Raw genomic sequence first — 27,728 nt, 5'->3', positions numbered from 1 at the left:
TATGTTAAGCAGAGAGGCATTTAATAATAGGTATTGGGCACTTAAAACTCATCAAAAGGACTGAAGGAGCAGATTCTAACCTGAGCTTCCAGTGACAGCACTCAAAATACTGCAAACTCGACACAGTATTGGAACTACTGTATTACTTTTATCAAATTCTGAAGAGAGAGGAATCAGGATGTCAAAGCTGAAATCTATGGGTTCAAAAAACACTACCAAAACTGTAATCCAGGGATCAGGAAACTACCACAGCTAGGGCAACAAGGGGTGGCTGCACACTGGCTTGAGGAGTTCAGAGTCACCTCTGATGTAGGTACCTCTTGACACCCACAGGTTTGGAGAACAGACATCATATCCATTTTTTATTGTCACAATCATGCTGCATAACCCAAATCAACAAAGCATCAATGGCATACAATAATAGTCATTCCATTTGGCTCACTCTGTGAGTCAGCAGTGTGGCTCTGCTCACCCTGGCTGGTCGGGAAGTCCGTTCCTAGGTTGACCAGGCATGAGTTGATCTATGAGGGCTGCTGACTCCCCTGTTTCATGTGCCCAGTGAAGGCAGCATTCTAGGTCCTAAAGCAGAAGTGTGTAAGTCTCCTTGAGGCCTAGGCTTGGAACTGGCACACCATCTTTCCACAGCGTTCTACTAACTGAAGCAAGTCATGCAGCCAGAATCAGTGGTGAAAAATAGACTCCATTCCTCCACGTGAAGAGCCAGAAAGTCACATTGGTAAATGAGGATACATTCATTAGACCCATCAATGCAGTCAGCCCACCACAGGCTTTAAAAGTCTGCTGCAGAAAAGAACTCATCTCTCCACAAACCCATTTGCCAGTAGAAAATGGCCAAAAGCAATAAGATGATTTCTTCCTGCTGCCTTCTACATCTTGCATATGCTAACTCATATAAACCTAATTTGCATCCAGAACCTCAGGTGCAGGATAGTTTAGAAAATGTAGGTTTTCTCTTTCAAGTCTCTGCCGCACAGGAAAAACTCACTAGAAGAAGGTGAGACAGACCCTGAGTAAAAAGACACCATATTCGACATAGTAGCTAACATCTGATAAACCCTTACTAGGTGGCCACATAACATACTAAGCAATTGACACGCCTGATCTCTCTGCAGCAAAGTTCTCTTTTGCTACTCATCTCCATGACCCTTTCCTTTAGTCTTTGGAAGAATTACAGATTTGTCTTCCATTTATGAATATTTCCGTCCTCCCAGCCATTGTCCCAGAAAGCCAATACCAGTGTTTAAGACATTTGAGACAGCACTAAAGTTCAGACCTGCAGGATTTGGCCTCTGTCTTACAGCCATTCTCTACCTGCTGTGTGTAGTTTTGAAATGCAGCCAGGAGCATCCCTTCAGGCCTGTAGAGTAATCCACCTTCCTAAGTATGCACAGTGGATAAAAATTAGTCTGATTGTATCCCAACTGTCATGCCATCCGTTTGCTGACCAAATCAACAAGCTGCATAGAATTCCAGCAGCAACTGGAAATGTGCATCTAGCATGAATTCACTTGAGCAAAGAGACTTCTTGGTAGCATGCCTGGAATTGTTGGTGCCATGACACTTGCTTTCTTTGCTGAAAGCAGATGTTCTCCACAGCACCCTTCACAGTGTGCTGCCAGGCCAGCTTGCCTGACACTATTTTATAGCATAATCTTTGTGGTTTCATTCTCTTGGCATATTTGTCCTGATTCTATAACAAATAACTTTCTCCATGCACTGATTATTATTTCTTTTTCTCTTCTTGGGAAATGTATTTACCATTTTTTTCCCAAGTAGAATGTATTCTTTCTCCATCATTTACCGTAGTCTCATAAACCATCTAATTGATTGTAATAATTACTGTGAGCCTAATTTATACTCAGAAGTCAATTTATGTTGTCCCAACCTTTCTACTATGATTTTAAAGAGTTAATTCTTTTGGAAAAATACAAGATTCTTCGATGTTTTCTTTGATTTATAGTTGGATATTTTTTTAAAACTCTAATGTTATAATTAAGAAATCACAATGGCTAGTTTCTAAGCAAGATACTCTGAGCAACTCTAGCTTATATTAACTCTATACAAGTGCCTAAGAGTCTTCTTTAACTAACCAAGAAGAAATCATAAAATATCGTTATTTAGAGCTGAATTTTAGAAATTCTCTAAATAATTATTTTCAGATTATAGTCTTAGAAGTACAGAGTTTTGCAGAAGTATCGCAAGAGACATCAAGGGAGAAAAGGATGGACAAGACCAAGGCTCACGCCGTGCTACCACTCCCCCCTCACCCACACACACACATATACACACACACATATATACACACATGCACACATACACACACATATACAAACATACACACACATACACACATATATACACATACACACATGCACACATACACACACATATACAAACATACACACACATACACACATATATACACATACACACACACATATATACACATGTACACAAGCACACACATATACATATACACACATATACATACACACATATACACATACACACACATATACACACATATAAACATACATATATACACACACACTTATACACACATATATGCACACACATGCACACACACATATATACACATGTACACATGCACACACATATACATACATATACACATGTACACACGCACACACACATATATATATACACAAACATACACACATATACACATGCACACACACACACTCTTCCAAGAAAGCAACTCTTCTGTTACTAGGCTCCTGGCCTATAATATCTATATACATGGTTCCACTGCTGTAAACAATAGCAGGAAAGTTCAGACGCCATTGTCGTCATACTCCCCTCATTGTTCTGTCAAGATAAAAAAGGGCCAAATGAGTTAAGTGATTTAATCGAGGCATTGTTTTTTCTTGTCCCCGGTCAAGTGACTTCTCCACTCATCTTACTCTCTTCTTTTTTGTTTATAAAAAACTGTATGGCCTTTAAGGAGTTTTTTTTAATTTGTAATTATTTTAATTTTAACGTTTAAATATTTAATATATAATTATCACTGTAAATGAAGACAATTTTAGTTTTATGACATAACTGAAAACTCTGTCATTTTGTCACTTTACCTGAGCACCTAAAACTAGTAATATGAACTATGGTAAAAAAACAAAAACAGTACATATCCGAATGTTGGTCTCACCAAAATTACAATGTATTTCTCCAATTTTATATACAGATCAAAGAACTGTAAAATTCAGGACAAAGAAAAATGATATGCAAAAATAGCAGGGTTTTATCCTACTTTTCAAAAGAATTTTTCATGCTTCCTCAGCCATTCTGTTATCTGTATGCTCCTCAAGTCAGTCAATAAAATGTATTTGACAGTCCTGAAGAAGACTGAGTATTCAAAAAGTATTTAGAGTATGCCCAAGACTTAAGAAGGCTTTTTTGGAGCTATTAGGAATAGCACCAACAGGGTTAGAAATCCCACTATTATATCCAGAAGGATAGGTTTAGCTTATATAAATAAAGTTAAAACTTGGTTTTACCTCACAATTTAGTGCAAAATACTTGCAGTATGGAGCAGAGATGATTCTGAAGCTCCCCAAGGAGCTGATTAGGACCTCGGGGCTGTCATTTTAGCCAAGATTCTACTGTGACTTTAGACAAACTATTCTATTCTGCTTTCTTCATTCAGAGGACAATACTCACTGGCCTCATAAGATTTCTGTGAACAAAAACTATATAAATGATAGTATAAGTATTTATCAAATCAGATGCAAAGAGGCCTATTTACTATGAAATTTCATTCATGGCCACTATAATGACACATATATTCCTTGGTGGTTATGACCAAATAAATAAATAGACTGTTTAAGAAAAAAAAAAAAAAAGAACAAGAAAAAAGCATACAGATTCTACATTGGAGAATGAATTTTCCAGAAAAAGCAGTATGTATATACAGACAAGTATGTATATCTATAAATTTATTAACACATTTATACATACATACAAGCTTTATAAACCTTAATCAAGTCATTGGACCTTTTTCAGGCTCCTTTTTAAAAATGAAGTTTATAAAAATCACTCCATTGTTGTAAGGATTAAATGAAACTGGATTAGAAATTTTATACAATGCATTTGACTTGTGGTAAACACACTGCTTTCCTACCCATAACCAAAAATGTAATCTTATATGTTAGTAAAGTTTCAGATCTTACACAAGAGCTTTTTTTCTATGATTACAGTAAGCTTAGCTCCTATAGACATGGTGATATTTGGATACAAATCTTGACTTTAATGTAATTGTATTGCCAGCATGTGTTTTTCCTTAGCACACACTCATAAAAATGGATTGAATGAAAGTCAAGCATAACGATGTACTTGTAGCCAGATCTGCTTCAAGAAAACTGTGTTTGAACAAGCTTCAATTTTTAACACATATCTGTAATATCATGAATAAATGAATCAGATGGCATGAGGAATCTCCTATGAACCAAAGTTAAAGAGGGAATCACCACAGTTTATGATATTTTTAATATTATTATTATTACTATTGGCTTTTAAATAGCAAAGTCTTTCACCTAAAAATCTTTAACTCTTTGTGGTCAATTCCCTGTCTTAACTCCCCTCTAGGTATGGTCTCTCCCATGAGGCAGTGACTTCTTTCTTCCATTGCTAGATTTTGCCACTCTCATTTCTGTGTGTTTACATTATTTTGACACCAATAATCTACATTATTAAAGGCCATTAAATCATAACAGAGAACCTTTAGGGCTGTGTAGAATGGATACATTTAACTGGGAATAATAAAATCATTCATTTGATTTGAACAAATGTTTAAGGTTTAGAATCAATCTGTCATTAAAATCCTATAAGCAGACCACAGTGGAAAATGCTAGTTGAAGCAGGGCGGAAGAGCCTGAAGTCTTACTCGTATGTTCCCAGATCATCCACCTCCTTCACAATCAATATCATCCCCACCACCACCAAAGTTACCCCAAAGAGCTTATAGAGCACTGTTCTAAACCATAGAGCACTATAAGAATGTCCTCTCCATAATCTCTCTGGGAAAATAGGACGACTTATCCTATTGGCAATAAGGAGGATTCTCCATAAAAGATAATTTGTTGGCCGGGCGCGGTGGCTCACGCCTGTAATCCCAGCACTTTGGGAGGCCGAGGCGGGCGGATCACGAGGTCAGGAGATCGAGACCATCCTGGCTAAAACGGTGAAACCCCGTCTCTACTAAAAATACAAAAAATTAGCCGGGCGTAGTGGCGGGCGCCTGTAGTCCCAGCTACTTGGGAGGCTGAGGCAGGAGAATGGCGTGAACCCGGGAGGCGGAGCTTGCAGTGAGCCGAGATCCCGCCACTGCACTCCAGCCTGGGCGACAGAGCCAGACTCCGTCTCAAAAAAAAAAAAAAAAAAAAAAAAAAAAGATAATTTGTTGCTGGACTCACATGAAGTAAGAGAAACCTCCAGGAGCCTCCCAAGCCCCTCAAAGTGAAATGAAAGTGGAGCATTCCATGGTGGGTGAAGAAAAGGGCAGCAGTAATCCAAGGGCAGATGTCCATTCCATATCTGTGGCCAGCAGGCTGAGCCTTGGGCTTGAGGAAATGTAGGAAAGCTGAACACAAGACTGATGCAACTGTGGAATGCAGCAGGGGTCTAAATAATATTTAGCTGAGAAAAAAGAGAAAGAAAGAAGCCATACACATTGTACATTTTGAGAATTTATTTTCTAGAAAAGTCAGAATGTATCATGTCCACTGAATCTCAGCACAATTCCCTCTGGTATGCACAATTCTCTCCCGCCAAAAGCAATATCGATATAAGCTTCCAGGTTTCCCTGGATTAAAATCAACCAACGTTAAGTCTAAAATCAAAGATCAACAAACACACATGGGAAAATAAAACACATTGAAATCAACAGACATGGCAAATTTAGACTTTCAAATTCTTTGGGAATTGAATTTTTAAAGACATAATTTTCAAAAATTGTTTTAAATCACAACAATAAGCAAGATCAAAATTACTAGGGATATTGGTAAAATTATCCCAAAAGGAGTTTAGAAATAAAAAACAAGATGTCAAAAGCTTAACTGATAGATAGAAGAACAGATAGACATAGACATATTAAGATCAGTAGACTGTAGAGTGAAAAAACCTTAGAAATTAATAAGAATGCAAAAAAGTAGAAGATGTAAAAAAGATGTTAAGATACAGGAAGAATAGAATGAGAAAGTCTATACATACCTAATTGAATGAACTGAATCAAGGACTAGAAAGAATGAAAGAGATCAATATTTAAAGTAATTAGCAGAGAACTCTCTGATTCACAAAACACAGTGTTTGCCTATCAAAATGAGTAAAAAGGAAGCTAACACCTAGAGACTATGGAGCATTAAGAATTAAACAGATGAGCTTAAAAGCATAAGAGAGAAAATGCTGACTACCCACATAGGAATGGCAGTTAGATTTACAACTAACTTCTCATTAGGAAAAATTGAAAGCCAGAAGGCAAAGGTTTAAGATCATGAATATGCAAGGAGAAAAAAAAAATTCACTCTAGAATTGTGTACCCTAAAAATTTACATTTTAATAAGAAAGTAATTCTTCGTGATTCTATAAGTCTATGATAAAAAACAAACAACCCAATTTAAAATGAGCAAAAAATGTGAACAGGCAATTCAGAAAAAAGAATATAAAATGATCATGAAGAATACAAAAAGACAGGTGCAGTGGCTCATGTGGGTGCCTGTAATTCCAGCTACTTAGGAGGCTGAGGCAGGAGAATTGCTTGAACCTGGGAGGCAGAGGTTGCAGTGAGCTGAGATTGCACCACTGCACTCCAGCCTGGCTGACAGAGCAAGACCCCATTTCAAAAAAAAAAAAAAATCAAAAACAAAAGATGTTCAACAATTCTTAGTTATCAGGGGAATGCAAATTTGAAAATACACAAGGATTCCCCTATACCCCTATTAGAATGCCCAATCAGAAAAACAGACAATGACATGTGTTGGCAAGAATGGGAAGGCAACTTAAACTCTTACTTATTGCTGCTATAAATATAAATTAGTATAACCACTTTGAAGTACTATTTAGCAGTACTAGCTACTAAAACTAAACATATATATATATATATATACACACACACACATATATGTTTGTGTGTCTTTATACATATATATATAGAGAGAGAGACACACACACATGTTTATAAGAAGAACCAGCAATTCCACTCCCAAATGTATACCCAAATAGAATGAGGGCTGATGTCCTCTAAAACAGAAGTCCCCAACCTTTTTGGCATGAGGGACCAGTTTTATGAAAGACAATTTTTCCACAGACCAGGGTGGGGGGTGTGGTATCAGATGATTCAAACGCATTAACTTTATTGTTCACTTTATGTATATTATGATTACATTGTAATATATAATGACTATACAATTCATCATAATGTGGAATCATTGGGAGCCCTGAGTTTGTCTTCCTGCAACTAGATGGTCCCATCTGGGGGTGATGAGTGACAGTGACAGATCATCAGGCATTAGATTATCATAAGGCGCATGCAACCCAGATCCTTCACATGCACAGTTCACAGTAGTGTTCATGCTCCTATGAGAAACTAATGCCACTGCTAATCTGACAGGAGGCAGAGCTCAGGCATAATGCAAGCGATGGGGAGCAGCTGTAAATACAGATGAAGCGTCACTCACTCTCCCGCCACTCACCTCCTGCTGTGCAGCCCGGATCCTAACAGGCCACGGACTGCTTCCAGTCCATGGCCCCGGGGTTGAGGACTCCTGCTCTAAAAGATATATACAGGGAGGTTCTTACCAGCTTTATCATAATAGTCCAAACCCATCAGCAATAGGATGAATAAATAAATTATGGAATAGTCATATGATGCAGTATTGCACAACATGAAAAAAGGATGAACTACTGCTACATGCAACAAGAAGAATGAATTGCAAAGAGATAGTGTTGTCTAAAGAGGCTATAAGGGAAAGGGTATACATGTACAATTCCATTAATGTGAAGCTGATAAACTAATATATGGAGATGGAGATCAAAACAATATTTTTGGAGGATATTATCTGAGAGGCAGAAGAGGAAGCCTACTAGGGTGCTGGAAATGCTTTATATATTAATCTGGATGGTGGTTAAATGAGTGTGAGTGTGTGTGTGTGTGAAAGTATATATATTTATGTATTTTTATATGTAAAATTCATTTAGCTGTATACTTAAGATTTGTACATGTTACCATGTATGAGTTGTACATTAAAGGGATTTTTAAGTAAAATAAGTGAAATGAAAATATTTCAGATTTTTTAAGGGGACAGATTTTTACCACAAACAGATTTATGCTAAAATAAATATGAAAAGAGATCATTCAAAAAAAGAAAAATGAGACCTAAGCAGACATTTCTCTAAAGAAGACATAAAAATGGCCAAACAAGTACACTAAAAGGTACTCAACCTCACTAATCATCAACGAATACAAATCAAAACCACATTGAGATGTCACCTCATACCCATTAGGATGACTATTATCAATAAGACAGGAGGTAAGTGTTGCTGAGGGTGTGGAGAAAAGGGAACCCTAGTACACTGTTGGTGAAAAATGTAGATTGGTGCAGCCATTATGGAAAACAGTATGGAGTTCCTAAAGAAATTAAAATAGTACTAGCATATGACCCAGCAACCCCTCTTCTCAATCTATACCCAAAGAAGACGATATCACCCTGTCAAAAAGATGCCTGCACTCCCATCCATGTTCATTGCAGCATTATTCACAATAGCTAAGATACGGAAATAACGTTAGCATCCCTGGACAAATGACTGGATAAAAAAACCAGGGGATATATTTACAACAGAATATTATTCAGCCTTAAAAAAAAAGATCCTGCCATTTGCCGTGACACGGAGGCACCTAGAGGACACTACACTACGTGAAATAAGCCAGGCACCAAAATACAAACTGCATGATGTCAGTTATATGTGGAACCTAAAAACAAAAGGAAAAGGTCAAATATATAGAGATAGCGAATGATACCACCATTACCAGGAGTGAAGGATACAGGAGGAAATGAGGAGATGTAGATCAAAGGATACAAAGTAGCAGATATATAGGATAAACGAGTCTAGAGATCTAATGTTCAACATGAGGACTAGTTAATAGAATTGTATGCTGTTAGGGATTTTTGTTAAATAAGTAGACTTTAGCTACCCTTGTAAACCATAAAAAGTAACTATGTAAGATAATAGATATGGTCATTTGCTTCACTGTGGTAATCGTTTTACTATCTACATATATCCCATTTTAAAAGATTTTAAATTTTAAAACAATGTTGTAAACCTCAGATATACACAATAAACATTATTTTTAACAAGAAAAAGAAAAATGACACCAAAAGGATGATCTGAGATTTTTTTTTTTTTTTAATGGAGTCTTGCTCTATCACCCAGGCTGGAGTGCAGTGGCACGATCTCAGCTCACTGTAACCTCCGCCTCCTGGGTTCAAGCAATTCTCCTGCCTCTGCCTCCTGAGTAGCTGAGATTACAGGTGCCCGCCACCATGTCTGGCTAATTTTTGTATTTTAGTAGAGATGGGGTTTCATCACATTGGCCAGGCTGGTCTTGAACTCCTGACTTCAGATGATCCGCCCCCCTCAGCCTCCCAAAGTGCTGGGATTACAGGCGTGAGCCACCACGCCCAGCTGATCTGAGATTTTAAAAAAGTACTTGGAAGCAAAAAATTGGCATATGAATAAATATAAATAAATATTGTCTCTATAAAATAATGTTACACATTTATGAGCTTTTAAAAAAGATAAACTTAAAATTTTGACAAAATGGCACTAAGTTGCAATGGGATAATATGAGTTACATATTTCTAAGATTCTAGTACTGTCTTTAAAAAGGATGAATTTATTAAGCATGATATTTCAGAAGTAATTACTAAAATAATGAAATGAAGTGCTTAATTTTCAAACAAAACTCAGTTAATGATGATTTAACAAGCAAGAAATAATTTAAAAGCAGGAAATTTTTAAAACTTAAAGAAAATTAGCAATGTCAAAATATGTCCATAAAAATAATGAATATAAATAAATTTAACATAAATAAATTTAACATGGCAGTTAAAAGTCAGAGATTGCTTGGTTGCATGGAAAAAAATACCAAAAACTTAATGCCCTGAAAAATCTGTAAATATGAGAAGAAAATGATATATCATTTAAATTCTAAACTAACACAGGCTTAAGTAGTTATTAGGAAAAACAGACATTATGATAAAAAGCATTATTAGGGATAGAGAATGTCACTATATGATTACATATAATCATAAAAAGTTTTAATTCACTTAGGATCATAATTATAAATATGTATGCATCTAATAATATAGTCTCAAAAGACATAAAGTAAAATTTAATAGAATTACAGAATGAAATTGACAATACTATAAGGAGGGGCATTTCAATATACTTATTTCCATTATTAATGGGTCAAGCAAAAAATAATTAACATATAAAAGACTGTACAACACAATTAACCAACCCTGCAAGCCAAAGTTAGAAAATAAGTGTTCTTCTCAAATACACATGAACACATGTAAAAAATAATTGTATAAGACTGATTTGAATAATAATAAAACTCTGATCTCCCATGGGAAAAAAAATTAACTGTATAACTGACTATAAATAATGTCTCAAAAATTTTCAAAAAATTGGCTTATATTATGAGCTTATTCTGTCACTGCAAATTGATTAGATGTAACTAACAAAATACAAAGAAAAGTAGGCTATGTTGGCAAATGTAAAACACACTACTGAATAACTAAGATGTCAAAGATAAAATCAGAATAGAGATTTAAAAATACTTGGAATTGAAAAATGATGGAAAAATATATGTTAAACCTTGTGGAACATGGCAGAAATGGTATGTTGAAAAATAATTATAGCTTCAAATTACATTACAAAAGTGTAACAGCTAAAGATTAATGAGCTACATGCCCAAATTGTAAAATTAAGGGAAAAAAGATAAGAAACCCAAAGAAAATATAAGGAAGAGGTCAGAATTAGACAAGAATAACTCAATAAAAGTATTTTAAAAAGAAACAGAATGTATCAACAAAGCCAAAAGTTGGTCCTTACAAAAACTAACAAAGAACGTTCTAACACAAGTATAAAGAAAAAATGAAAAAGCACAAAAATAATTAAGAATGAAAATGGGGACATAACAAAAGTTCCAAGAGAATAAAGAAATATTTGTACCAATAAATTGGATAACTTTGATGAAAATGAATAAATTTCTAGAGAATTTTTTTTAACAAAATGTATTTGAGGAAATGTACGATGCCCCCAAACTTCTCTAACAATTAAAGAAATTAAATCAGTTGTTTTAAAAAGTCTTCCAACAAAGAAAACATTGACCCCAAATACTTTTGCAATCAAAGTCTACCAAATTTTCAAGATCTTTCCCCTTTCATATAGTATATTTCAACTATAAACTACTAACCAACTTATTTTATGAAGCCAATATTGCATTGCTACCAAAATGACACAAGAACAGTAAGAAAAAGAGAAAGAAAACTACAAGCCAGTTTCTTTCATGAATATAAATGCAATTATCCTATGCAAAATAACAGCAAATTACCCCCAGTGATTATATAAATACAATAATATACCACGACCAGGCTGGATTAATTCCAGAAATACAAGAGCCATTTAAATGAATAAAATATATAAATATCATTAGCACATTAAACAAATTAAGATCATATTAATAGAAACAGAAAAAGTATTAGATATAAATTAATATTAAATCACAGTTTTAAAAAATTTCAAGATGCAAACAGAAGGGAACCTATCAATCTAAAACAGAATATTTATCAAAGTCCTAAAGAAAACATTCTTTAATATCTAAAGTGCTAGGAGCCTTCAAGAATCAGGAATAAGATATGGATATCAGTTTTTACCACTCCTATTCAATATTGTAGCCAGATAAATAAGACAAATAAAAGACATAATGATTATAATGGCATAAAGAAAAATATTATTTACAGAAAATGTGGCTGTTTAGATAAAATTCCCAAGAAGATCTGCAGATAAATTTAATTAGAAATGAGAGAGTTTCTCTGGGTGCTGTGGCTCATGCCTGTAATCCCAGCACTTAGGGAGGCCAAGGCAGGCAAGTCACTTGAGCCCAGGAGTTTGACACTAGCCTGGGAAACACAGTAAAACCCTGTCTCAACAAAACATACAAAATTACTATCTTAGTAAAACCCTGTCTCTACAAAAAATACAAAAATTAACCAGACGTGGTGGCATGCACCTGTAGTCTCAGCTCTTCGGGTGGCTGAGGCAGGAAGATCACTTGAGTCCAGGAGACTGAGGCTGCAGTGAGCCAAGATCACACCACTGCATTTTAGCCTGGGTGACACAGCAAGAAGCTGTCTCAAAAAAAAAAAAAAAATTTAAGAAATGACAAGAGTTTAGCCAAGAGGCCGGCTATAAGATCAGGATGTGTAATTAAATGCATTTCTCTACACCAGCAATTAATGGAAAACACTTTGAAAAAATAACTGTATGAAATAGCAATAAAATGAGTCTGACAGAAGATATATCTCAGTGATATATACAGAAAATTATTTCTCTATATTTAAAGCCAATAAAGAAAATATAATTAAAAGAAGTCTGACTTAGCCTGGGTCTCTCCATCTCTCAAAGGTGAAATCTGAGAAAAGCCTTTTGTAAAGGTCATTTATTGAGAGTCTGATCTTATGGGAGGGAATGAGGGCTGAGAGAAGTTAAACAGGGAAGAGAGAGCCAATGCAAGGACACATTACTGAGTTGGCCATTGCTACAGGCAACTGGATGCTTTTTACCATGGATTCATGTGAGAAACTTTATGAAGAGTGTCTCAGACCCCTCCCTTCATTGTGAATAAAAGCAGTTGCATGTATCTATTAATTCCCATTCTCTAATGATCAAGGGTTGCTAAGCAGGGTATTGATTATCCTATCCTCCAGGATGTGCCCTTATATGTTCTAAGTGTTTTTCCACAGACATCTTAAATAGAGAAGATCCAGCCAAAGAAGCAAAAGATATAACATGATTTTGAGATAAGGCAGGCAGGCAGTCTGCAAGTGTGTGAAGCTGGTTGAAGTCGGCCTGGGATTGGTCACTACAACTATGGCTAGAATGAGAGGGAGGGCTGAGGCAATTTGAAATGGTGTACAAGAGGTATCAAATATGGAGACATTTACCATGTTCATGAACAAGAAGCCTCAATATTGTAAATACATTAATTATTTTCAAACAATACTAATGAAATCTGAAACAAATTTTTCTATGAATTTTACAAGCTCAGTCTAATATTATATGGAAAGCCAAAGGGCCAACAATAGATTAGACATTTCTAGGCTGGGCATGGTCACGCCTGAAATCCCAGCACTTTGGGAGGCTGAGGCAGGTGGATTACTTGAGGTCAGGAGTTTGAGACCATCCTGGCCAACATGTTGAAACCCCATCTCTACGAAAAATACAAAAATTAGCCAGGTTTGGTGGTGCACACAGGTAATCCCAGCTACTCAGGAGGCTGAGGCATGAGAATCACTTGAACCCAGGAGGCAGAGGTTGCAGTGAGTCTAGATCATGCCACTGCACTCCAGACTGGGCGATGGGGCAAGACTCCATCTCAAGAAAAAAAAAATTAGATTAGATATTTATAAAGAAGAATAACATAAGGGGTACTTGCCTTACCAGGTAACCAGATGTATAAAGCTATAAAATAAAGACAGTGTGGCACTAGCACACAGACAGAAAAACCGACCAGTGGAAGGAAAAACAGATCCCAGAAGTGTATCAAATATGAAGTGTGGAAACTTCATATTTGACAGAGATGATAGTGTAAACAACTGGGGAAAAAATAAAGTATGCTTGAATAATTGGTTATCTCTATAAGAAAAAAATGAAATTTGGATTTCTTACTCAGACCATTCACAAAAATCAATTCTCATTGTATTTAAGACTTAAATCCAAAAGGCTAATTTCTAAACCTTTTAGCAGAAAGTAGAAGAGAATATTGCTACATTAGGATACAAAAGACTTTCTTACATGAAACTGTTAAGAAAAAGTAATTGACAAAGTCAACTAAATTAATGTTAAGAATGTTAATCAAAATATAACATAAATAGAATGGTAAAACGACACAAATTTTGAAGAGAATACTTCCAACTCATAAAACACACACCAATGTTTTACAACTTTGAGTGGAATTAGATCCAGATATTAATGCAAAGGCAGTAGATGAAGAATCAGCTCACCTAAAAGCAGAACCAGCTATGTCTCCACTGTTTTTCAACAAGGGTCCCATTGGTATTTTGGGCTGGACCATTCTTTGGTGTAAGACAATGCCCTGCATTGCGGGAGTTTTATCATCCTGGTGTCCACTTCTTAAATGCTGAAGGCAACCATTAGTTCCTGGACAACTAAAACACCTCAACAGTTCTACAGTATTCTCAGGAATTAGGCAGTAGCTCCCTTGGTTGAGAAACAATTTGATTCTACCCAGAAAATACATTTCCTTAAAAATTAAATAAGAGACAGAACTGAACCATATTTGAGGGCTAAACTTCCAAGTCATGAAGTGAAAGAGATTTTCTTATATATATAAAGGTGAAGGAGGTGATTTTTCACAGCCTGTCTTGGGAAGAAATTTGGGGGAAGGCTCAATGAGGAAATTTACTTTTATTTCTGAAACCTCAGAGGGAAACGGAGATCCCTATCCAAAAGGAAGGCTAAAAAACAGATTTAAGGGCACCAAGTCTCAGATGATTTCCCAGACAAAAAAAAAAAGAAAACTTAGAAAACCATTTAAAAAAGACTGTAAAGTTTTAAAAGAGCAAGATTTCTCTACTTATTTATTGGGCTGTCAAGGAAGGAGTCTATTGAGGAAAAAAAAATGTTCCATCTCCTGGCCAACAGGACAAAAAGAAACTCAGGAGGTAAAAAATAAAGTGTCAACTTCCAAAAATGAAATCAGGCTGTATCCCTGGAGCTTGAGAAAAATGAAAAGGGTATATAAAATTACGAGGCAGCCAAATGTCCCAAACAATGGATACAAAAACATTTCTTAATGTGCCCAGACTACATCCTACTGATCTGAGATTTTTAGATTAACTTATGTAATTAGTACTGGTTGGACAATACTTTATGTAAAGTCAGTTTTCATAGTCGGTAATTCCTGTAGGATTATTACATATTCACTTAATAATAGCAGAGGAAACAGCTAATTACTAAAAAGTATTTATCTATGAAGATTAAATTTACTGGAACATTAGAGAGGGTTTCTGCTTCTGCTTATTTAGGAAAAGGTTTATATAGTAAAAATAAAATCACTAAAGATAAAAAAAAGGTTTACGTAAGCCAGCAGCATTGGCATTCAGCTATACTGCTATCTAAGCTACTGCTAATCACCCATTATGAAGTGTGAAGGCTCATCAGTCTTCTAGGTCACATAACTGGATTTTTCAGAGACTCATTAATCTGCATTGAGCCATGTTCATTCATTTATTCATTCTTCATTCATTCAATAAATGCTAGCTCTCTACCAGTTGCCAGGCACTGAAGAAATAGTTAGGAATCTCTGCCCTCAAGGAGATTACAGTTCATCTTGGAGAACACTGGAGAGCCAACTAATGGAGTTATTTGGGGCAGGGACAGGTATTGACCCGAGGGCAATGCAAAAGATCTTCCTACAGAAATACTGATCTGAATTTTGAAAGATATATGGGGGTTAGCTAGGGGAAAGCATTCTAAGAACATGGGTGAATATGTGCACAGAGCCAGACGTGTAAAATAGCATCTGAGTAGGAGGTTAGCACTGAGGCACATGACTGGTGTAGTGATGGGCAAGAGTCACAGGTGAAGCACTGGCCTCAGCAAGAGCTTTTTCTACAAACTCAGACCTCCGATTTAGAACCCATAGCTGGAAGGCATAAGGAACCATTAAACAATTTAAATAAGAAGCAGAAAAGCTCTGTTTTACATTTTGTTTTGTTTTCTTTAAGATCTCTTTGATGGGGGAATGGAGGTTGGCCCAACTCAGGACACCTATGACAAAGGGTTTTGCAGTAATCCAGGCAAGAACCAATGAGTGCTTAAAAGCAGTCAGAGGCAGAGGATCTGCAGAGAAGGGTGCTGATAGGAAAGGTACTGAAGAGGCAGGGTCCACAGAACTCGGTGGCTGACGGGGTAGCTGGTGGTGGAGGAGAGGTGGGTGTTCTGGATAGCTTTTTTGGTTTGGCTTGGGTGTCATTTGCCACACAGCTGGGGCACTTTGAAAATGGGAGTAGAGGAGGAAGAAGGTGAGTTCAGCTGGGGATATGTTGACTTTGAGGAATGCATGGGACGCCCATGAAGAAGAAACATTTCATAGACAAATTTATGGCATTTACACTCCAAAACAACATCTGGACTTAAGATTCAGATGTGTTTACCTTCACAGGTAGCAGCTGATATCATGAGTTGGGGTAGAAGGAAAATATAGAGAACCAAGAACCAAGAACTGTGAAGACAACAACATTTCAAGGACCAAGAAGGAAGAGAAGGGCTACAAGAGGCTAAAAGGAGCACCTAGAACAGAAGAGCAGAAACAGAGCCATGTCACAGAGCCTAAGCAGAAAAGAAGAGTGGCCACATCAGGAAGACAGAAAAGATTAGAAAATTGATGAGGAGGACAGTGGCAGAGCCCGGGAGCACAGGTTAGGTGGGTAACAAGGCAGGTAGCAGGTGCAATGTAGAGAAGTGGGGGAGCCAGGGAGGAGGAGAGGAAATGGAGACTTTGACAGCATGACTCTAAAAGCTTGACTAAGGAGTCAAGAAGAGACAGTGGCTAGAGGGGCTCAAGAGATGTAGGGAGGGTCCCTGGCCCTGTTTCTGTTCAGAAGTCACACATCACAAGCACTGTACTCAGGTGAATAAAGAAAATGTGATCACTTTATTTTCCTATAACCTAATCTTCCACTGAGCAGGGTGAAATCAACTTCATTGTGACAGATGTCATCACTCTCTTTTAGCTTTAGCAATCTCTTTTGGTGAGTCAGTCTCTTTCAAGTCAATGCCCCCAGTGACAACCAACATTAATGAGAATATTAGGGGGTTAATGTGTGTGAGGCACCTTTTAAGCATTTTATAAAAATTATCTTAAACTGTCATGACAACCCTACATTGACTTGAGAAATGAGGAAAATGAGTAAATTGACCAAGATGAGGCAGCTGAAGCATGTTGAAACCAGCTTTCAAACGTGGGCAGTCTGATTTCTGAGCCTGTGCTCTGAGCCGCAGCACTTGGCTAACACCAAGAGGTGGTCTGGGTGTGCAGAGGACTGAGCGCAGCGAGTCTCTGGGATCCTCCTAGTCCTCTGTCCATCTGACGGTTTGATCAGCTCTCTGGACTGATGAACACAGAGGGGCAATGAGTGCTATCTGATCATCTGGCGTCAAGCTGGCATACAAGACTGGGTTTTGTGGTCCTAACCATGGGCTTTGGACACTAAAGTCCCCATTTGTCTTCTGCTTAGGCTCTCTTTGTCTCTCTCCAAAGCATCAAAGAACAGCTGGAAGCCCTGCACACCCCTGCAGGCATGGGAGCAAAGAGCTCGGCCTGCGCCACGCCATCCTTCAATCACTGTGGCACTATTTCCTCTACAACATGCTGCAGATGGCCAAGTTGCACCCTACCCTGTAATGCCCAATATCATTGCCCTTTGTCTTCCTTTCATTTTGCTGTTCCATATCTCAGAGGAAAAGGGAAATACTTCTAATTTCTCCATATCTCTAAACTCTGAGTTCCAACTACATTTGTATATAGTAATTAGCCAACACTTTATATTCATGGAAGCTAAAGAAACTTAGAAAACACATTTCCTTCTCCCAAAGCCTGGCTTTCAAAATCATGATCTTGCTGCGTGCTCCAGAAATTCAGCTTTGTGAGTAAAGCTGATCCATCACACCTTTGCTGGAGGCAGAACTGTCCTACTGTCCCCTGGGGCAAGAGGCCTCATGGCTCAGCCTCAGAGGTGGAAGGCTGGAAGGGACCATGATACCAAAGCGGATTAAAGTGCATTGACTTCACATCTTCAAAATATTACCAACAAATATGTACAAAAAAGCCCTCCTTAGGGGTATAAACAAGTATAAGTAAACTCTCCTTGTTCCTTTCTCTGAAGCTGTCTTCCTTGCAGTCTAAGAATCCTGTGCTGTATTTGGTCACAAATTTCCAGTCTATAATTTTGTTGTAGCCCTTTTTAATTTTTGCAGCCAGAGTGGGAGAGACTCAAGCTTATCAACATTTTGCATCTTGACAAAAAAAAGGATTATTGTAACAAGTTTCTTTTATTTAGGACTAGAGCTGAGTTAGTTGTCTACTTTAATGAGTCACACACAAATGAGAAATTTAATACTACATAAGCAAATATTTTCATTACATAAAGAAGACATATTTTCCTTGCAGGAGTTCAGCTTACAGATTTAGAGAGTAATAAAAGAGCTACTGGTATTATTTACATCAGTAACACAGATATTCTAGCTTTAAAAGGTGGCATTCATAATTATTATAAGCCTGACTTCTCTATCTGCTTTAATCAATCACATAATGCTTGCATGATTTATGCATATCTGTGTGCAGTAAGCCATCGACCACATATCTTATTGCTGGTTCTTTCAATGTAAGTCAGAAAATCATCCATAAGCTCAGACAAATTAACCAGTGAAGCAATAAGACTCTGGTAGATTAGCATATAAGAAACATGAACAGACATTTTATACAAGAGAAAACAACTGATCAATCTACAGAGAAATATCTTTTTTGTACTGAAGAAAACAAAAACACCAATGATATACTATCAATAGTCATTAAAGTAAGAAAAACTTAAAGTGATGAAACCCACTTACGGTACAGTTGGATGAAAGTTGCACAGCTATATGTTGCTGGTAGCATCATAAATCAAGACGACAGCATTAGAAAACATTGGGAAATATGCTTTGAGACCATACTTGGGCCAAGGAACCCCTATTATCAGAATTTATCTTAACAAAATTATCCAAAATCAATTTGGGTCCTAAGTTAATAATTTGGAATGGGCAAACTTTTTCTGTAAAAGCCCAGATAATAAATATTTTCGGCTTTGTAGGCCGTAGGGTTTCTGTTGTACCCACTCAGCTCTGCTGTTGTAATGTGAAAGCAGCATAGACCATACACAAACAAGTGTGTGTGAATGTGTTCCATTGAAATTTTATTTACAAAAATAAGGTGTGGGCTGGGCGCAGCGGCTCACGCCTATAATCCCAGTACTTTGGGAGGCTGAGGCAGGCGGATCACCTGAGGTTGGGAGTTCAAGACCAGCCTGACCAACATGGAGAAACCCCCATCTCTACTAAAAATGCAAAATTTTCTGGGTGTGGTGGCACATGCCTGTAATCCCAGCTACTCAGGAGGCTGAGACAGGAGAATCACTTGAACCCAGGAGGCGGAGGTTGCAGTGAGCCAAGATGGCACCATTTCACTCCAGCCTGGGCAACAAGAGAGAAATTCTGTCTCAAAAAAAAAAATTTTTTAATTTTAAAAAAATAAGTTGTGAGCAGGACTTGGTGCATGTGCCAAACCCAGCTACGTACTGTTGTTTATTATGGCAAATAAGTAGAAAAATCTAAAAGCTTAGCAATTATAAATATTTTCATAAAATGTGATAATCAACTCAATGGTTTATTGGGTAGCCATTAAGATAACAACAATTATAAAAATTACAGCAGCATGGGAAATGTTAAGTAAAAAACAGGATCCAAAATCATATATACAGCAAGATTACAAACATACAAAATTCCATCTGTAAAAGAACAAAGACTGAAAGGGAATGTACAAAAAGTGCAGATAATTATTTGCCATGAAGGATGAATTTTGAGCTTGTCATTTTCATCACTGTTATTAAAAATGTACTTGAGAGGCAACGTCAGCTTCAAGCACTCATAACCACACTGCATTGCTGTCATCACAAAGCATCTGCCCTTTGGTTAGAAAAAGCACTAGGAAAGCCAGCCAGAGGCTTATGTAGTTCTAGGGTGATCACGTATAATTTCATTACTATATTAGTCTGTTCTCAAACTGCTGTAAGGAACTACCTGAGACTGGGTAATTTATGAAGAAAAGAGGTTAATCAGCTCATGGTTCTGCAGGCTCTACAGGCTTCTGCTTCCAGGGAGGACCCAGGAAACTTAACAATCATGGTGGAATGCAAAGGGGAAGCAGGCAATTCTTCACAAGGCCTGCAGGAGAGACAGAGTGTGTGTGAAGGGGGAGGTGCTACACACTTTCAGAGAACCAGATCTCGTGAGAACTCTGTCACAAGACAGCACTAGTGGATGGTGCTAAACCATTAGAAACCACCCTTATGATCCAATCATCTCCCACCAGGCCCCACATTCAACACTGAGGATTACAATATGACAAGAGATTTGGGTGGGGACACAGCCAAACCATACCAATCACCATATATGAATTCCTAAGCCTCATCCATCAACTTGCAATGCAGATTGGCTACATTGGTCTCAGATAATCAGACGAAAACTCTGCATGATTTAAACACATCCATGTGCACTAGTTTTTTTGTTTTTTATTTTTTTAGATTTGAGATTCCTTTAATCAGAAGCATTCATCTTCCAACAATGTGCTCTTTACAACCCTAAGGGGATGCTTCTGAGGGACCGGGTCCCTTAGAGTGAGACTTGGGCTCTTGATAAAAAATGTATTTTCTTGATTTTATTTAAACAGTGGTGAAACTTAAAGGGCACCAGTCTAGATGCCCAAGCGTCCCAAGTATTTAGTGTTTGTGAAACCAACTTAAAGGGCCTCTTGAGCTACTGGCAGATGAACATTGTCACTATAGAGAATGGTGGCCGATATGGCTCAGATCTACCTAGTCCTTGTTACGGCATGCCAGAAGCCTGCTGAACCAAATCCCGTATTTATCAGCAATTGAGCATGGCTTCAAGTCATAGTCATAAAATCTTTATACTGCCATATACTATTTAGTAGTGTAATTTACACTATCTCCTTTGCTCTACAGAACTCATTGAAAAAGGATATTGGGAAATTTTTATATAATTCCTGATTTATTATGATACATTACAATCATGCATAACCAAATCTATAGTTTGGTGGTTAAGAGTATGGATCTGGATATAGTCTGCCTGGTTTCAAATTCCAATTCCTTTACCTACTAGGTGTGGGAACTTAGGTAAATGTATTAACTGCTGTGTGCCTCAGCTTCCTCATATGTAAATTGATTTTAATAGCAAAATCTACCTCCTCAGATAGTTCTAGGGATTACATAAATTACTACCTGTAAATTGCTTAGAACATATTTTAACACACTCAGCAATACTGAATACTTAGGGTTTGTGAAAACTCAGTAATTATCTATTATTATTTTGGATTATGTTCTACTGATATTTATTTCAAATCACTGTTGTATGTAAAATTTTATCTCACCACTCTGTTTACACTATTTTCTCCTCGGGCAGCACATAAAAAATTAATTCAACTCCCTAAGTAGACAATGGTTCAATAATACATCTCATAAATCCTATAGCATCGCAAGAAATGCAATGGAAAAACATCAGATTTACTCTGGTAGTACTCTTAATTTCACTGTTCTTCCACAAACAGTTTGCTATTTAAAAGCAAAATTGACAATCACCCCCCAACCCCATCAGTCTCCAAGAAATTCTGCTAATAAGACAACAAAAGCCATCTTGGACTTTCACAGAGAGCTACATGGGAGACAAGTACCCTTTAGGTTGTTTCTAGGAGGCAGGTGGAAAATTTGTCTCAAGATTTGTGCTGTCAGACAAAAACAAGGATCAGACAAAGCAGCACAGTGAATGTTGTATTTCTTATTATAAGCCACAGTCAGCATGGAAATGATTTTCAATAGCTGCTGTCAACATCCTGCTTTTACTGTCCAAGTACTGCAGATTGAGCAAACTCTTAATGTATCAATCATCTTTGAAAAACAATTTAAGAGTTCTGAAAGGTAAATAATATATATAAATGGGTAATAGCATGCTTTATTTGATGCCATTTGTCATAGTAAATATATTTATGTTTTCCCCACTTGTACTAACTTCACCATTTGTACACTTGGTGATATTCCTTCAGAGTGCAGAACAAAGGTAGTTTTCAACTTTGCCCATCAGTCTCTTCTGCAGATTTTTCTGCTCACCCAATGAATTCAGCAAGACTGCATAATCCCCTTTACAGAGGCGATGACCAGATTATAGGTTAGAAGTAGTTACAGTCTTAACTGGAAAGTCAATATAAAGAAATTTTATAGAAAATATTTCCAAATACACTCCCAGATGCAGCCATGGTAAGAGGTTTTAAAATGTTTGTTCACCACAACAATTTATGGGTCACATAACCATGGTTCTCAAATTTTAATCTGCAGGAAGACATCTGTCTAGAAAACAAGCTTAAAATGCAAATTCCTGGGCCCCACCCCCATGGATTCTACTTCAGCAAATCCAGGATGGGGCCCAGGAATCTGCATTTTTATCAGACATCTCAGATGTCTTTTACAGTCAGCACCAGACCATACATTGATCAAGATTGCCCTGGATAGCCCCATCGTCTCCACTCCTCTACAATCACACAGTGCTGACAGCATGAATTTGTGTATTAATAGTAGTTCATGGCCCTTTGTTGACAGATGAAAATAACGTTGAATTAGGTTCTAGATGAGGCTTTGCTAATTTCTGTGTGATAGGGCCAAGGCCCTCCGATTCTCAGATTTCATTGTCTTAGCATTTGCTGTTGCCTCCCCAGCATCCATTACCATAAACTGCAACCTGAATGTCTTTTGCAATGCAGTTGGCATGGGATTGATCCTGCCCTCAGCTCCAGGTTTGGAAGTGGCTGCCTTAAGCCAGTCGGTAAATCTGATCACATCAATCACAGAGATTAATTCAAAAGAAAGAGTGGCACATGACCCAAGTCAGTCCAACCAGGGCCAGGAGAACTCACTTCTGGGGTTTTGCTTGAGGTGTCAGGAGGCAGACTCTTTTCCCAGTAGAAGTGCTGGGAAGCATGTGGGTAGGAGCTGCTTGTCCCCATTCTGGGAACTTTGAGAATTTAGCCCTCATGGAGGAAGCAGGAGCAAGAACTAGAGAGATAAACCTAGGCCCAGTCACAGAGACTGAACCCTGGATAAAGTCTAACTCATAACCTGCAACATTCAGTGTCGTGAACCTCCACATTTCCATTTTTACTTAAGGAACTTGGAATCCATTTTCTGTCACATGCAACCCAAAGCATCCTAACTGACACACCTGTGAAATCAGAGTATTTTCTTAGATAACCTATAAAATCATCCTAGAAGATCTATAATCTTTAAAATTCTTTTAAGTTAAATAGACTGATTAAATGACACAATCATATCTGGAAAATGCTGTGCACACAAATTGGATAGAGACCATATCTTCTGTTAACTTGTAAACTAATGCAGAAATATTCTTTTGGCTACTCTTTGGCAAATATTCTGAGAATTGCTTTTAATTGGCACAAGAATCAAAAGATGTTGCAATGGTGCATGATCTACTATCATAAGTCATGAAGCACTAAGGACAACCTAATTACTGATTCCTATATCAATCTTGGCCAAATGGAGAGTTTCATCTAGGTAAAGGGTTACTTGATTTGGGTAAGGTGAGAAAAGAAGGAACTTTAGCAGAGATTAGTCCTGAATTGGATGTGAAAATAGACCTTAACATATTAAAGATGGTCATTGTATTGTTAGGAAAAGAGTTATTGGACAATATATCAAAGAGTTCTTCCAGAAAACTTAAGATTATTTTTCCAATTCTGACATGTATCATTTCAGCTCCATTCAACCAAATTTATTGACATCTAAGATATTTCACATTTAGAAATTATTTCACTATATTCTGGGTCTTCAAATTGTATTCTGCGTAATACAGGTTTAACATAATGTTATCGGGACATACAGATAGTCCTCAACAAAGTTTCAACTTAAAACTTTTCAACTTTTCGAATGGTGAGAAAGCATACCTCAAGTAACTATACAACCATTCTGTTTTCAGTACAGTGTCCAATAAACTACATGAGATATTCAACACTTTGTTATAAAACAGGCTTCGTGTTAGATGAGTTTGCCCAACTATAGGCTAACGTAAGTGTTCTGTGCACATTTAAGTAAGCTAAGCGATAATGTTCCATAGGTTAAATGTATTAAATGCATTCTCAATTTATGATATTTTCATTTTACAATGGGTTTATCAAAATATAACCTTATCATAAGTCAAGGAGCACCTGTAATTAAAAACATTAAAAATAACATTTGTGTTACCATATTGCTGTCTAAATTAATGTATTAGTATCTGTTATGATATATTCTAGCCAAAGCTTTTGAATTCATTAGAATTACAAGCAGATTGAGACTCATCATTACAAAAGAATCTGTCCAATCACATGAAGAGACAAAGCCAGTTATACAGCTAGATCTTACAAAACTTACATTTTTCACCTCTGTAAATCATAATTTCAGTATTTGCAGCATTGTGAGTGCAGACACCACAGGCAGTAATAACTGGCTTAAATGCCTTCACAGTACAGCTGTTTGCAACAATACCTCCATTGATAACTCTCAAAAAATGAAATGACAGCTACAAATCCCTTGAAAGAATATATGCTCCTCTTTACATTGTCCTACAGGTTAACTCCCAGGGTGCTCTCAATTCTACACAACAGTAACTGTAAATGAAAGCATTATGCCCAAAGTTATTACACAAGGCCGTGGGTAACTACGAGCACCTCAGTAGTTCTCAGCAGGGAATTTATGTTTGAATTGCAGTATGAAATCACTTTCTCTTCTGGGGAATTTGTTCATATTAGCATAAAAACTTCAGAATGTCTATCGATCGTTGGTAATACTAAAGAAAAAACAAGAAAAAGTGAAAGAGCAAGAGAAAGAACTTAGCAGAATTATGGTCAGGACTCGCAAGAAGTTCTGCAATAGAGTCTGCATTAGTTGAGATCCTTATTGCTTGGACATGTTAAAAACTCAACTCAAACTGGCTTAAGGAAAGGGGGACTATAGTGACTATGCAATTGGGAAGTCCAGAGCTGAATATATCTTTAAACATGGACGGACCCAGAGGTAAACAATATACACAGAGCTCTGCTTCTTTTCTTCTCCACCTTTCAGCTATGCTTATTTCTGCTTGCTAAACTATAGGCAAGCTCTTTCTGTGTGTTTGTGTCAGATAGAATGACCTCAATCAGCTCCAGGTGCACATTTGTCCGGCCTAGCAGCCACCGTGGAATTAGACTTCCCCCACCCATTAGAAGCCCTATGACAATCTCTCAGGGAAGACAACAATTTATCTTTCTGGGGTCATATGCACATTCCTGAATCAACACTTGGCACTCCAGCAGCTAGGCTTGGCCACATACTCACCGATGAAGTGAGGACAGGTCATTGTGACTGACATCACCATCTGGACCACTAGGAATGGGGCAGGAGTAGAAGGAACAGGATGGGAAATGATGCTGAACAAACAAAAACCATAGCTTCCCCCAATCACTGCAGACTGTCTACTCCTGATGAAACTACATGCCCTAAAGAAAAGATTTCCACAATGTGGGGAGGATCAACCCAAAAAAAGGGATGGAACTTATGGATTCTTTGTAAGTTTTCATTTATTAAAACCTTTAAACCAATCAGTCAGCACTGAAAGATCATTTACACCTGAACCAATGCATGAGTGGTCATTTGAATATTGTGTTGTCTATGTGATGGGTTCCTTTCAACATTTTCTGAGAAATCTAAAATCATGCGTGTAATGTGAAGTCATGAATTTGGAGAATATAATGTTGAAATGGAAAATAAATTAGGCAAATCTTGATGATTTACACCCAAAGCTTTGTGGGAAAAGTGATTTAAATTAAATTTTATAATGTGGAAAATAAACTACCACCCAATGAAATTTTATAACTTGCATGAAAATTCAAACTGAGGGATTTCACATTACTTTACTTCATCAATTTAAAAATTGTCTTGTCATTTAATAGTGAAACTAACAGACCAGGGCTTTTTAGTATCAATAGTCACCTCCATTGCCCCTTTAAAAAATGTAAACACTTAGGTTCCAAACTCAGTGTCATTCCTACCCTTAAAAGTGAGTAATTATTCTCCTTTCATTGTCTAAAGTTTCTTTGGATAGACCAACATTTCTTTATGTGTTTTCCACATTCACGTAAAAAAGGCCAGTGAGGAACCAGTGTGAGAATATTATTGGGACTAATTCAATTCCAACTGACTGAAATGAGAAAGGAAATGAAAAGAGCTTCAAGCTCTTTCTCAAAATGCTAACAAAATTACAGATTTAGATGTGTTCACTTGTTTGAATATTCACACTAGATTCTAGTGCTTGGGAACAGAGTTCTTCTAGCTGACAAACAGGGTTTCTTATTTGTGAGGGGAAAAAAATTCTGAACCTAAAAACAGTCATTTCCTGCTTACAAAGCACACATTGGAATCTATAGCCTTTATGTCATTGGGGAAAACTTGTCTAGGAGGGGGGAACCTGGTTAGAAACCAGAAAACAACTATAGAAACCATTAAAAACAAAGATGCAACTATGCCTTTACAGTTGCTATTATCACATATGCTATATGAAAGAGAAAACAATAGGTGGGTTAAAAATTAACACAGAGAGTATTAACTTAGTTAGTTCACTGAACCCAAAAGTTTCAGAATTAGGCAAGAGTTTTTGCTAAACTCACAATGTGGCCAGAATCACCAATTTGTTTTGAAAGGCATTTCTTCAGCATGGGTCCCAACCAATAAGGGATGGTCGATTTCTGTCTTTCCAATTCACTTCAGGAAGTCCTCATAGTACTTTTTATTATTTCTGAGAAATGACAGAAAATGCCTTCTAAGAATGTTAGTTCTCTTTTCACTATACAGGATAAGAGAACTCACACAATTGCTTTCAACCCTTTGTTTCTTTACTAAAATCCAGCTGAAATTGCAAGGTAGTCATTTCTCTTTTGACTAAAGTTTATTCCCCCAGCCTCCCAGAAATCCTTTCTTGGTAATTGGTCTTACCAATTCACTAAACTTTTCTTATTTCATAATATAAAAGTTTTTCTTCCTCTCAACTCTCCCAGGTTTAAAACTTTAAATAACCATGTTTTTAGTGCTGTTCTCGGAATATGATTCACGTAGCACAGCCTTACAAATAGGTTTTTTATTAATATTTCCACACATTTTGATTTAGGTTGAAAGAAAAATCTAGGATTCCATGTGCCGTATAATCCGTTCACTGTTATAGAAAACATGTCTTCTAGACAAGTTTCATTGAAAACTCTTAAGACTTTTTGATGTATTTAATAAGTGTTAATCTCTTTAATTTTAGTAGTTCCATGTAACCAAGTAAGTATTCTTTCACTCTACAAGCTCGTTTACTAGCAAATCAAACTAAAATATAACTAGAACATGATACTAAATGTATAATGGTTAATCATTACAGAAGGTATCCTCTAACTGCAAAACATTTTGATCTTTGATTTCAACTTATCTAGAGACATGTTTTTACGGTGGTTGGACTGTGCCATAAAAAGGGTGTGAAAGATGCTGACTCAGTTTTACTAC

The 27,728-nt window shown here is 37.0% G+C and overlaps 1 long non-coding RNA gene across 6 annotated transcripts in view; it reads right to left on the bottom strand.

Moving 5' to 3' along the window:
• The window catches only part of LOC102723906 (uncharacterized), a 220,555-nt gene that overhangs the window by 181,233 nt on the left and 11,594 nt on the right, over positions 1 to 27,728 (bottom strand). The window lies entirely within an intron of this gene.

The sequence above is a fragment of the Homo sapiens genome, chromosome 4 (genome assembly GCF_000001405.40).
Source record: "Homo sapiens chromosome 4, GRCh38.p14 Primary Assembly".
Classification (NCBI taxonomy): Eukaryota; Metazoa; Chordata; class Mammalia; order Primates; family Hominidae; genus Homo; species Homo sapiens.
This window is presented reverse-complemented; position numbering and strand designations above follow the sequence as displayed.